Genomic DNA, 15,370 nt, shown 5'->3' with positions numbered 1-15,370 from the left:
TGAAAATCACAGATCTGAACTCTACAGCCTACTATTGTATTTTATTATTTTTTTCTTTTATTCTGACTTAGAGGCATTCAGGTACTACTGTATTTTAAATACTTGCTGCTCAAAATATGGCCCAGGAATCATCAGTATCTGTACCACCAGGAGCTTGTTAGGTTGATTCCATAACTTGGCTACTGTGAATAGTGGACAAGATTCTGCATTTCTAAGTGTCCATCAATGGATGAATGGATAGAGAAAATATGGTATACATGCATAATGGAAGATTATTTAGCCATAAAAGATGAGATTCTGTCATTTGCAGCAACATGGATAGACCTGGAGGACATTTTGTTAAGTGAAATAAGCCAGGCAAAGAAAAACAAATACCCTATGTTCTCATTCATATATGGTTGCTGAGATAGTTGATCTCATGAAGGTAGAGAGTAGAATATGGTTACTGGAGGCTAGGAAGTGTAGGCAGGACAGGGGAATCAAAAGAAGCTGGTTAATGGGTACGAAAATAGAGTTAAGTAAAAGGAATAAGTGACTTCCAATTCCAAAATCAAAATGGTGTCATAGAAGCAATCTGGCTTTACCTTCCCCATCCCCCATAACAGAAAACCCAAACTAAATATACAGCACCAAGATTGTTACCAGAAATATCCCAGAACTCAAATATGAACTTGAGATACTCCCTGGGGCCACAGAAAGGTGAAAATAACTGAGTGGACAGTAAGAGAATTAGACTTCCACATTCATGATGCCCCTCCCTACTTTCTCCCTGTAACCAAGTGTGTGAAAAATGTCCCCCAAACTCACTTTTTCTATAGTAAAAAAAGTGAAACTGAGGTGTACAACCAGCTTCTCCACCATCTTTGGTTCCCTGGCAGGAGAACTGTCCCTACCTTAACTGACAAAAAGCATCATGAATGCCTGAAGGAAGAAATATCCTTGAGGACAAGCAGAGACAAAGTGGATAGGCAGGACTCCCATTTCCAGCCCTGGAAACTCTGCTCTGTAACTCAGCCAAAGAAGATGCCACATTTCTATGGTTATTCAGCAGCCCTGTGCTGTAGGAGGTTTGTCCCACAGGCCCCTGGGCATGAACTGCTAGCCAGCCTCCCACACTGCCAGAATATTTTTTGGGGGACCTCCCTCATTCAGGAAAGGCAGCTCTCTGATTGTTTACTAGAGCTGAGGCAAACATAGGCTTAAGGTGCACCTAGAGCCAAAAAGGAGTCAGTGACTGGGCAGTAAAGAACCTGTAAGCAAATCTATCCAATAAAACAAACAAACAAACAAACTGAACAGAGAAGACTGGAACGAATAACTAATCCTTCAAAGCAAAGACATAGATGTGCATCCACAAGAAACAACAGCACACAGAGAACCATGGACTGATTCCAGGCCTAGGCCCTTGGATAGCATTTCTGGACCTACTCTGAAGCAGAAAAGAGCCCACAGGCCTGGCAGCATTCACCACAAGCTGACTGAAGAGATGTTGGTCTTTAAGTGAACATTGTTAGTGGCCTGGTAGAACTCCCCATGGGCCACTGGTGGTCGTGGCCACAGGGAGAGGCTTCTCTGGCTGTGAAAAAGGGAAGAAAGAGTGGGAAGGATTTTATATTGTGGTTTGAGTGCCAGCTTAGCTGCAGTAGAATAGAACATCAGGCAAACTTCTAAGGTTTTTGACTCTAAGCCCTGGCTCCTAGACAGCATCTCCGGACCCATCAAGGGCCTAGGGGAATTTGCCACTCTGAAGGAAAGGACACAAACCTGGCTGGCTTTTGCTATCTGCTGATCATAGAGCCCTAGGGCCTTAAGTGAACATAGGTGACATCTCAGTAGTGGTTACAGCAGGCCTTGGGCAAGACTCAGTGCTCTGCTGGGTTCAGATCTGACCCAGCATACTTTCAGTGGTGGTGGCCACAGGCTGCTTACTTCACCACATTCCTAGTTCCAAATGGCTCAGCAAAGAGAGAGACTCCATGTGTTTGGGATAAAGTAAGGAAAAAGAACAAGAGTCTCTGCCTGGTAATCCAGATAATTCTTCCAGATCTTATCCAAAACCACCAAGGAATTACCTTCGCAAGTCTGCAAATACTATGAAATTATTGGACTTGGGGCCCAAGTCCCTTCAAATACCTGGAAATCCTCCTCAAGAAGGATGGGTAAAAAGAAGCCTAGACTGTGATGACTACAATAAATATCTAAACTCTTCAATGCTCAGACACCAAGGAACATCTACAATCATTAGGATCCTTCAGGAAAACATGACCTAATCAAACAAACTAAATAAGCCACCAGGGACCAATCCTGGAGAAACAGAGATGTGTGACCTCTCAGACGGAGAATTCAAAATAGCTGTTTTGAGGAAACTCAAAGAAAATTCAAGATAATACACAGAAGAAATTTAGAATTCTATGGGATAGGCTGGGCATGGTGGCTCACACCTGTAATCCCAGCACTTTGGGAGGCCAAGGTGGGCAGATCACCTGAAGTCTGGAGTTCAAGACCAGTTTGGCCAACAAAACCCCCTCTCTACTAAAAACACAAATATTATCCAGGTGTGGTGGTGGGTGCCTATAATCCCAGCTACTTGGGAGGCTGAGGCAGAAGAATTGCTTGAACCTGGGAGGCAGAGGTTGTGGTGAGCCGAGATTGTGCCACTGCACTCCAGCCTGAGTGACAGAGTAAGACTCCATCTCAAAAAAAAAAAAAAAAAAAAAAAGAATCCTATGGTATAAATTTAGCAAAGAGATTGAAATAATTAAAAAGAATCAAGCAGAAATTCTAGAGTTGAAAAGTGCAATTGACGTACTGAATAATGCATCAGAGTCTCTTAATAGCAGAACTGACCAAGCAGAGAAAGAATTAGTGAGCTTAAAAACAGGATATTTGAAAACACACTGAAAAGACAAGAGAAAAAAGAATAAAAAATAATGAAGCATCCCTACAAGATTCAGAAAACACACAAATCTAAGAGTTATTGGCCTTAAAGAGGAGGTAGAGAGAGACATAAGGGTAGAATGTTGCTGAAGGAAAAAAATATTTGACCCTAGAATAGTAGATCTGGTGTATATCCTTCAAGCATGAAGGATAAATAAAAACTTTCCCAGACAAACAAAAGCTGAGGGATTTCACTAACATCAAGCCTGCCCTATAAGAAATGCTAAAGGGAGTCTTTCAATCTGAAAGAAAAAAGGATATTAATGAACAAGAAGAAATCATCTGAAAGTAGAAAACTCACTGATAAGAGTAAGCACACAGAATAACTCAGAATATTATAACATTGCTTTCATGGTGTGTAAGTTTCTTCTCTCTTAAGTACAAAAACTAAATGATGAACTAATAAAAAATAATAACTACTACAACTTTTCAAACATAGTTTAATAAGATACAAATACAATAAAACTTAAAAAACAGGGGGATGAAGTTAAAGTGTAGAGTTTTTATTAGTTTTCTTTCTTTTTACATGTTTGTTATACAATCATTGTTATCACCAGTTTAAAATAATGGGTTATAAGAAAGTATTTGCAAGTTTCATGGTAACATCAAATCAAAAAAACAAACAACAGGTACACAAGAAAATAAAAAGGAAGAAATTAAATCATACCAACAGAGAAAATCACCTTCACTAAAAGGAAGACAGAAAGGAAGGAAATAAGGAAGAGAAGACCACAAAACAACCAGAAAACAAATAACAAAATGGCAGGGTAAATTTCTACTTATCAAGAATATCATTGAGTATAAATGGATTAAACTCTACAATCTAAAGACATAGAGTGGCTGAATAGATGAAAAAACAAGACCCAATGATCTGTTGCCTACAAGAAGCACACTTAACCTTTGAAGTGAAAAAAGCACACTTTACATATAAACTATGTAAATAAAGGGATGGAAAAAGATATTCCATGACAACAGAAATCAAAAAAGAGCAGGAGTAGCTATACTCATATTAGACAAAATAGATTTCAAGACAAAAACTATAAAAAGAGACAAAAAAGGTGATATGGTTTGGCTGTGTTCCCTCCCAAATCTCATGTTGAATTGTAGTTCCCATAATTCCCACATGTGGTGAGAGAGACCCAGAGGGAGGTAATTGAATCCTGGGGGCAGTTTCCCCCATCATATTCTCATGATAGTAAGTTTTCAGGAGATCTGATGGTTTTATAAGGGGCTTCCCCCTTTGCTTTGTTCTCATTCTTCTCCATCCTGCTGCCACGTGAAGAAGGATGTGTTTGCTTCCCCTTCTGCCACGATTGTAAGTTTCCTGAGGCTCCCCAGCCATGCTGAACTGTGAGACAATTAGACCTCTTTCCTTTATCAATTAATCATTCTGGGGTATGTCTTTATTAGTAGCATGAGAACAGACTAATATAGAAGGTCATTAATGATAAAGAGTCAATCCAGCAACAGGATATAATGATTGTAAATATATATATGCATCTGACACAGGATGACACAGATATATGAAGCAAATATTAATACAACTAAAGAGAGAGATAGAAATCATTAGCTGGAGACTTCAACACCTCACTTTGAGCATTGGACAGATCTCCCAGACAGAAACTCAACAAAGAAGCATTAGACTTAATCTGCACTATACAACAAATGGATCTCATAGATATTTACAGAACGTTTCATCCAAAAGTTACAGAATACACATTCTTCCCCTCGGCACATGGGTCATTTGCAAAGATAGACCATATGTTAAGTCACAAAACAGGTCTTAAAACATTTTTAGAAATTGAAATTATATCAAACATCTTCTTTTTCTCACACACAATGGAATAAAACTAGAAATCAACAACAAGAGGAATTTTGGAAACTACACGAACACATGCAAATTAAATTATATGCTCCTGAATGACCAATGGGTCAATAAAGGAATTAGAAGACAATTGAAAAATTTATTGAAGCAAATGATAATGGAAACACAACATACCAAAACCTATGGGATATAGATAAAGCAGTACTAAGAGGGAAATTTATACCTATAAGTGCCTATATCAAAAAAGAAGAAAAACTTCAAATAAATAACCTGACAATGCATCTCAAAGATCTAGAAAAGGGAGAGCAAACCAAACCCAAAATTAATATAAGCAGAGAAATAATCAAGATTAGGGCAGAAATAAATGAATTCAAAATGAAGCAAATAAAAAGATCAACAAAACAAAGAGTTGGTTTTTGAAAAGAGAAACAAAATTGATAAGCTTTTGGCCAGACTAAGAAAAAAATGGAGAAGACCCAAGTGAATAAAATGAGACAGGAAAAATGAGACATTACAGCTGATATCACAGAAATTCAAAAGATCTTTAGTGGCTACTATGAAAAACCATATGCCAATAAATTGGAAAATCTGGAGGAAATGGATAAATTCCTAGACACATACAACCTACCAAGATTGAACCACGAAGAAATCCAAAACCTGAATAGACCAATAACAAGTGAAGAATCAAACCCATAATAAAAATTCTCCCAGTAAAGGAAAACCTGGAACCCTATGGATTCACTGCTAAATTCTGCCAAACATTTAAAGAACTAATACCAATCCTACTGAAACTATTCTGAAAAATAGAGGAAGAAATACTTCCAAATTCATCAGCATGACCTTGATACCCAAACTAGACAAAGACACATCAAAAAAAGAAAACTACAGAATGATATCTCTGATGAATACTGATGCAGGAATCCTCAACAAAATATTTTACCTGCAAACCTAATTCAACAAACATTAAAAAATTGTTCATCATGACCAAGTAGTATTTATACCAGGGATGCAGGGATGGTTCAACATATGCAAATCAATCCAAGTGATACAACATATCAGCAGAATGAAGGACAAAAAACCATATGATCATTTCAATTGATGCTGGAAAAACATTTGATAAAATTCAACATCTCTTAATAATAAAAACCCTAAAAAATCTGGATATAGAAGGAACATACCTTGACATAATGAAAGCCATATATGAAAGACCCACAGCTAGTGCCATACTTAATAGGGAAAAATTGAAAGCCTTTCCTCTAAGATCTGGAACATGACAAAGATACTCATTTTCACCACTGTTCTTCAGCATAGCACTGGAAGTCCTAGGTAGAGCAATCAGATAAGAGAAAGAAATAAAGGACAACCAAACTGGAAATAAAGAAGACAAATTATCCTCGTCTGACATGATCTTATATTTGGAAAAACCTGAAGACTCCACAAAAGAAAATTAGGACTGATAAATTTAGTAAAGTTTCAGGATACAAAATCAACATACAAAAATCAGTAGCATTTCTATATGCTAATGGTGAACAATCTGAAAAAGAAATTTTTTAAAATTCCATTTACAGTAGCCACAAATAAAATTAAATAGGAATTAACTTTATGAAAGAAATGAAAGATCCATACAATGAAAACTACAAAACACTGATGAAAGAAATTGAAGAGGGCACAAAATGGAAAGACATTCCATGTTCATGGATTGGGAGAATCAGTATTGTTTAAATGTCCATGCTACACAAAGCAATTACAGATTCAATGTAATCCTATCAAAATAGCAATGACATTCTTCACAGAAATAGAAAAAAAATCTAAAATTTATATGGAACCAGAAAAGACCTAGAATAGCCCAAGATATCCTTAGCAAAAAGAACTAAACTGGAGGGATCACATTACCTGATTTCAAATTATACTACAGAGCTATAGTAACCAAAGCAGCGTGCTACTGTCATAAAAACAGACACATAGGCCAATGGAACAGAATAGAGAACCCAGAAACAAATTCACATACCACTCATTTTTGACAAAGTTGGCAAGAGTATACACTGGGGAAAAGACAGTCTTTTCAATAAATGGTGCTGGGAAAACAGGATACCTATATGCAGAAGAATGAAACTTGACCCCTATCTCTCACCATACACAAAAATCAAATCAAAATCTAAGGACTCAAACTATGAAAACACTACAAGGAAACATTGGGGAAACTCTCCAGCACATTGGTCTGGGCAAAAGTTTCTTGAGTAATACCCCACAGACACAGGCATCCAAGGCAAAATGAGCAAATGGGATTACGTCAAGTTAAAAGCTTCCACACAGCAAAGGAAGCAAGCAACAAAGTGAATAGATAACCCACAGAATGGGAGAAAATATTTGCAGACTACCCATCTGACAAGGGATTAATAACCAGAGTGTATAAGTAACTCAAACAACTCTATAGGAACAAGTCTAATAATCTGATTTAAAAATGGGCAAAATATTTGAATAGACATTTCTGAAAAGAAGTCGTATACATGGCAAGCAAGCAAGCATATGAAAAGGTGCTCAGGCCAGGCACAGTGGCTCATGCCTGTAATTCCAGCACTTTGGGAGGCTGAGGTGGGCAGATTGTTTGAGTTCACAATTTCAAGACTAGCCTGGGCAACAGGGCAAAACCCTATTTCTACAAAAAAAAAAAAAAAAAAAAAAAAAAATTAGCCAGGCGTTTTGATGCCTGCATCTAGTCCCAGCTGCTCAGGAGGTTAAGGTGGGAGGATGGCTTGAGCCCTGGAGGCAGAGGCAAAGGTTGCAGTGAGCCAAGATGGCACCACTGCACTCCAGCCTGGACCGTAGAGCCAGACGTTGTCACAGAAAAAAAAAAAAAAAAGAAAATAAAAGAAAGGAAAGGGAAAAGAAAAAGAAAAAGAAAAGCAAAAAAAAAAAAAAAAAAAAAAGTAAAGGGAAAAGAAAAGATGCTCAGCATCATTGTTCATCAGAGAAATGCAAATGAAAACTATGAGATATCATCTTACCCTAATTAAAATGGCTTTTATCCAAAGGACAGGAAATAACAAATGCTGGAGAGGATGTGGATTAAAGGGAACCCTCATACACTGTTGCTGGGAATGTAAATGATTACAGCCACCATGGAGAACAGTTTTGAGGTCCCTCAAAAAACAAAACAAAACAAAAAACACTAAAAATAGAGCTACCATATTATCCAGCAATCCCACTTCTGAGTATATACCCAAAAGAAAGGAAGTCAGTATATTAAAGAGATATCTGCACACCTATGTTTGTTGCAGCACCGTTCATGATAACCAGGATTTGAAAGCAACTTAAATGTCCATCAACAGGTAAGTGGATAAAGAACATGTGGTACTTATGCACAATGGAGTACTATTTAGCTATAAGCAAGAATGAGTTCCTCTCATTTGCAACAGAATGGATGGAACTGGAGGTCATTATGTTAAGTAAAATAAGCCAGGCACAGAAAGACAGACATTGCATGTTCTAATTTTTCTTGTGGGATCTAAAAATCAAATCAACTGAACTCATGGAGACAGACAGTAGATGAATGGTTACCAGAGGCTGGGAAGGGTAGTAGGGGAGTGGTGGGGAGGTGGAGATGGTTACTGGGCACAAAACAAATAGTTAGAAAGAATGAATAAAACCTATTATTTAGCACAACAGAGTGTCTATAGTCAATAGTAATTTAATTGTACATTTAAAAAATAAAGAGTATAGTTGGATTTTTTGTAACACAAAGGAAAAATGCTTGAGGGGATGCATACACCTTTTACATGATGGGATTATTATGCATTGCATGCCTGTATCAAAATATCTGATGTACCACATAAATATATACACCTACTAAGTACCCACAAAAATTAAAGATTAAAAAAAAGAAAAAGAAACGACCCAAATAAATAACATCAGAAAAAAATGAGACATAACAAATGAAACCACAGAAATACAACAAATCATCGGAGACTATTACGAATAACTATATGGCAACAAATTGGGAAACCTAGAAGAAATAGACAAATCCTGGATATATACAACTGATCAAGATTAAGCTATGAATAAATAGAAAACCTCAATAAACCAATAACAAGTAATGAGATTGAAGCTTTAATGAAAAGTCTTCTATCGACAAAAAGCCCAGGGCCTAATGGCTTCACTGCTAAATGCCACCAAATAGTTAAAGAAGAACTAATACTAATTCTACTCCAACTCTTAAAAAAAATTGCAATGGAAGGAATATTCCAAACTCATTCTATAAGGCCAGTATTACCCTGATACCAAAACCAGACAAGGACACAATGGAAAAAAAATAGGCTGATATCAATAATAAATGCAGATACAAAAAGCCTCAATGAAGTACTAGCAAACCAAATTCAATAACATATTGAAAAGATCATTCACCATGATCCAGTGGGATTCATCTCAGGGATGCAAGGATGGTTCAACATAATATTTCACAACAATAAACATGATACATCACCTTAACAGAACCGAGAACCAAAATCATGTGACTATTTCCATAGATGCCAAATAAGCATTTGATAAAATTTAACATCCCTTTATGAAAATAAAAACCCTTATCAAATTGGCTTTTGTTTGAGAATATCTCAAAATAGAAAGACCATATATGACAAACCCAGAGTTATCATACTGAATGGGGAAAAATTGAAGGCCTTTCCTCTAAGATCTGGAACAAGACAAGGATTCCCACTTCCACCACTTTTATTCAATATAATACTGGAAGTCCTGGCTAGAGCAATTGGGTAAGAGAAAGAAATATAGGGAATCCGAACTGGAAAGGAAGAAGTCAAATTAGCTTTGTTTGTAGATGACATGATCTTATATTTAGAGAAACCTAAAGAATCCACCAAAAAACTGTTAGAACTGATAAATTAAGTAAAGTTGCAGAACACAAAATCAACATACAAAAATCAGTAGCATTTATATATGCCAACAGTAAACAATCCAAAAAAGAATTCTAGAATGAATAAGTTCTGGTGTGTAATAGCACAGATTATAATTCGCAATAATGTATTGTACAGCTAAAAGGTTTGGGATGTTCCCAACACAAAGAAATGATAAACATTTGAGGTGATGAATATCCTACTTACCTTGACTTGATCATTACACACTGTATGCATGTATCAAAATATCACATATACCCCACAGATATGTAAAATTATTATGTATGAATAAAAAAGGAAACTTAAATGCAGAATCTGAGGCCCCACTCAGACCTACTAAACCAGGATCTCCATTTTACAAGATCCCCAGGAAATGCATGTACATATTTGAATTTGAGAAGCTGCTTTAAATGTTGCAGTCACTGCCATAACAAGGTAAGCTCTGATCCCCTGGGCACTGCACCCAGCCAGCTCCAAATAGAGGCAAGTGTAGACAGCATGAGTCAGGAGGTTAGTCCATCAGCTAAATATATATTGGGCATCTCCTAGCTTCCAGTCACTATAGGTGCCACGCGTTTAGCCCTCAGTATATCTCGCTCCCTGTGCTGTATGAAGTTCTCACTATTTATCACACAGAGTGTTAGAGTTGAGAGGCACCTTTCAGATGACATTGACCAACCCCTTTATTTTGCCTATGAGGAAGCTAAGGTTGTAGATAGCTCAGGACATACAGAACAGAACTATAGTCCATGCTTTTCTTACATTACACTTGATTTGTTTACTTATGCTTTGTTTACATCACACTTATGCTTTGTTTACATCACACTTGATTCTTTCTCCATATATAAAACCCAAGATAAATGTTATTAGTTTGACCCCTATATACATGGAGTGGACACATGAAGTGGGGAGAGCTTGTTTCCAGAAGGCCCAAGTAGAAGTGACATGTCACTTTGGAAGTGGCCTTCTTACATGTACTTTCTTTCTTCTTCTTCTTTTTTAAATTATACTTTAAGTTCTGGGATACATGTGCAGAACATGCAGGTTTGTTACATAGGTATACACGTGCCATGGTGGTTTGCTGCACCCATCAACCCGTCATCGACATTAGGTATTTTTTCTAATGCTATCCCTCCCCTAGCTCCATACCCCTGACAGGCCCCCACGTGTGATGTTCCCCTCCTTATGTCCATGTGTTCTCATTGTTCAAATCCCACGTATGAGTGGGAACATGCGGTGTTTGGTTTTCTGTTCTTGTGTTAGTTTGCTGAGAATGATGGTTTCCAGCTTCATCCATGTCCCTGCAAAGGACATGAACTCATCTTTTTTATGGCTGCATAGTTTCCATGGTGTAAATGTGCCACATTTTCTTTATCCAGTCTATTATTGATGGGGATTTGGGTTGGTTCCAAGTCGTTGCTATTGTGAATAGTGCTGCAATAAACATACATGTGCATGTGTCTTTATAGTAGAATGATTTATAATCCTTTGGGTGTATACCCAGTAATGGGATTGCTGGGTCAAATGGTATTTCTGGTTCTAGATCCTTGAGGAATCGCCACACTGTCTTCCACAATGGTTGGACTAATTTATGCTCCCTCCAACAGTTTAAAAGTGTTCCTATTTCTCCACAACCTCTCGAGCATCTGTTGTTTCCTGACTTTTTAATGATCTCCATTTTAGCTGGCGTGAGATGGTATCTCATTGTGGTTTTGATTTGCATTACTCTAATACCAGTGATGAGCTTTTTTTCATATGTTTGTTGGCCACGTAAATGTCTTCTTTTGAGAAGTGTCTGTTTATCTCCTTTGCCCACTTTTTGATGGTTTTTTTTTCTTATAAATTTGTGTAAGTTCTTTGTAGATTCTGGATATTAGCCCTTTGTCAGATGGATAGATTGCAAAAATTTTCTCCCATTCTGTAGGTTGCCTGTTCACTCTGATGACAGTTTGTTTTGCTGTGCAGAAGCTCTTTAAATAGATCCCATTTGTCAATTTTCACTTTTGTTGCCATTGCTTTTGGTGTTTTAGTCATGAAGTCTTTGCCCATGCCTATGTCCTGAATGGTATTGCCTAGGTTTTCCTCTAGGATTTTTATGGTTTTAGGTCTCATGTTTAAATCTTTAATCCATCTTGAGTTAATTTTTGTGTATGATGTAAGGAGGGGTCCAGTTTCAGTTTTCTGCATATGGCTAGCCAGATTTCCCAACACCATTTATTAAATAGGGAATCCTTTCCCCATTTCTTGTTTTTGTCAGATGTGTCAAAGATTGTATGGTTGTAGATGTGTGGTGTTATTTCTGAGGCCTCTTTTCCTTTGGTCTATATATCTGTTTTGGTACCAGTACCATGCTATTTTGGTTACTGTGGTCTTGTAGTATAGTTTGAAGTTAGGTAGCGTGATGCCTCCAGCTTGGTTCTTTTTGCTTAGGATTGTCTTGGTTATGCGGGCTCTTTTTTGGTTCCACATGAAATTTAAAGTAGTTTTTTCCACTTCTGTGAAGAAAGTCAATGGTAGCTGGATGGGGATAGCATTGAATCTATAAATTACTTTGGGCATTATGGCCATTTTCATGACATTGATTCTTCCTATCCATGAGCATGGAAGGTTTTTCCATTTGTTTGTGTCCTCTCTTATTTCCGTCAGTAGTCATTTGTAGTTCACCTTGAAGAGGTCCTTCGCATCCCTTGTAAGTTGTATTCATAGGTATTTTATTCACTTTGTAATAATTGTGAAAGGGAGTTCACTCATGATTTGGCTCTCTGTTTGTCTATGATTGGTGTATAGGAATGCTTGTGATTTTTGCACATTGGTTTTGTATCCTGAGATTTTGCTGAAGTTGCATATCAGCTTAAGGAGATTTTTGGCTGAGACGATGGGGTTTTCTAAATGTACAATCCTGTCCTGTACAAACAGACAATTTGACTTCCTCTCTTCCTATTTGAATAACCTTTATTTCTTTCTCTTGCCTGATTGCCCTGGCCAGAACTTCCAATATCTTGTTGAATAGGAGTGGTGAGAGAGGACATCCTTGTCTTGTCCTGATTTTCAAGGGGAATGCTTCCAGCTTTTGCCCATTCAGTATGATATTGGCTGTGGGTTTGTCATAACTAACTCTTAGTATTTTGAGATACATTCCATCAATACCTAGTTTATTGAGAGTTTTTAGGATGAAGGGGTGTTAAATTTTATCAAAGGCCTTTTCTGCATCTATTGAGATAATCATGTGGTTTTTGTCATTGGTTCTGTTTATGTGATGGATTACGTTTATTGATTTGTGTATGTTGAACCAACCTTGCATCCCAGGGATGAAGACAACTTGATTGTGGTGGATAAGCTTTTTGATGTGCTGCTGGATTCGGTTTGACAGTACTTTATTGAGGATTTTTGCATTGATATTCATAGGGATATTGGCCTGAAATTTTCTTTTTTTGTTGTGTCTCTGCCAGGCTTTGGTGTCAGGCTGATGCTGGACTCATACAATGAGTTAGGGAGGAGTCCCTCTTTTTCTACTGTTTCAGAAGGAATGGTACCAGCTCCTCCTTTTACCTCTGGTAGAATTCGGCTGTGAATCCATCTGGTCCTGAGCTGTTTTTGTTGGTAGGCTATTAATTACTGCCTCAATTTCAGAACTTGTTATTGGTCTATTCAGGGATTCAACTTCTTCCTGGTTTAGTCTTGGGAGGGTGTATGTGTCCAGGAATGTATCCATTTATTCTACATATTCTAGTTTATTTGCATAGAAGTGTTTATAACATTCTCTGATGGTAGTTTGTATTTCTGTTGTATCAGTGGTGATATCCCCTTTATCATTTTTTATTGTGTGTCTAGGATTCTTCTCTCTTTTCTTCTTTTTTTGTAATTATTATTATACTTTAAGTTCTAGGGTACATGTGCACAACATGCAGGTTTGTTACATAGTTATACATGTGCCATGTTGATTTGGTGCACCCATCAACTTGTCACTTACATTAGGTATTTCTCCTAACACTATCCCTCCCCCAACCCCCCAGCCCCTAACAGGCCCTGGTGTATGATTTTCCCCTCCCTATTTCCATCTGTTCTCATTGTTCAACTCCCACTTATGAGTGAGAACATGCAGTGTTTGGTTTTCTTTCCTTGTGATATTTTGCTGAAAATGATGGTTTTCAGCTTCGTCCCTGCAAAGGACATGAACTCATCATTTTTTATGGCTGCATAGTAGTCCATGGTGTGTATGTGCTACATTTTATTTTATTATTGTTATACTTTATGTTTTAGGGTACATGTGCACAATGTGCAGGTTAGTTACATATGTATACATGTGCCATGCTGGTGTGCTGCACCCGTTAACTCGTCATTTAGCATTAGGTATATCTCCTAATGCTATCCCTCCCCCCTCCCCCCACCCCACAACAATCTCCAGAGTGTGATGTTCCCGTTCCGGTGTCCATGTGTTCTCATTGTTCAATTCCCACCTATGAGTGAGAACATGTGGTGTTTGGTTTTTTGACCTTGTGATAGTTTACTGAGAATGATGATTTCCAATTTCATCCATGTCCCTAAAAAGGACATGAACTCATCATTTTTTATGGCTGCATAGTATTCCATGCTGTATATGTGCCACATTTTCTCAATCCAGTCTATCATTGTTGGACATTTGGGTTGGTTCCAAGTCTTTGCTATTGTGAATAGTGCCGCAATAAACATACGTGTGCATGTGTCTTTATAGCAGCATGATTTATAGTCCTTTGGGTATATACCCAGTAATGGGATGGCTGGGTCAAATGGTATTTCTAGTTCTAGATCCCTGAGGTATCGCCACACTGACTTCCACAATGGTTGAACTAGTTTACAGTCCCACCAACAGTGTAAAAGTGTTCCTATTTCTCCACATCCTCTCCAGCACCTGTTGTTTCCTGACTTTTTAATGATTGCCATTCTAACTGGTGTGAGATGGTATCTAATTGTGGTTTTGATTTGCATTTCTCTGATGGCCAGTGATGATGAGCCTTTTTCATATGTTTTTTGGCTGTATAAATGTCTTCTTTTGAGAAGTGTCTGTTCACGTCCTTTCCCCACTTTTTGATGGGGTTGTTTGTTTTTTTCTTGTAAATTTGTTTGAGTTCATTGTAGATTCTGGATATTAGCCCTTTGTCAGATGAGTAGGTTGCAAAAATTTTCTCCCATTTTTTAGGTTGCCTGTTTACTCTGATGGTAGTTTCTTTTGCTGTGCAGAAGCTCTTTAGTTTAATTAGATCCCATTTGTCAATTTTGGCTTTTGTTGCTATTGCTTTTGGTGTTTTGGACATGAAGTCCTTGCCCATGCCTATGTCCTGAATGGTAATGCCTAGGTTTTCTTCTAGGGTTTTTATGGTTTTAGGTCTAACGTTTAAATCTTTAATCCATCTTGAATTAATTTTTGTATAAGGTGTAAGGAAGGGATCCAGTTTCAGCTTTCTACATATGGCTAGCCAGTTTTCTCAGCACCATTTATTAAATAGGGAATCCTTTCCCCATTGCTTGTTTTTCTCAGGTTTGCCAAAGATCAGATAGTTGTAGATATGCAGCATTATTTCTGAGGGCTCTGTTCTGTTCCATTGATCTATATCTCTGTTTTGGTTCCAGTACCATGCTGTTTTGTTTACTGTAGACTTGTAGTATAGTTTGAAGTCAGGTAGCGTGAGGCCTCCGGCTTTGTTCTTTTGGCTTAGGATTGACTTGG

This window comes from Homo sapiens, chromosome 6, assembly GCF_000001405.40.
Source record: "Homo sapiens chromosome 6, GRCh38.p14 Primary Assembly".
In the NCBI taxonomy this organism is placed as follows: Eukaryota; Metazoa; Chordata; class Mammalia; order Primates; family Hominidae; genus Homo; species Homo sapiens.
Note: the sequence above shows the minus strand (reverse complement) of the source record.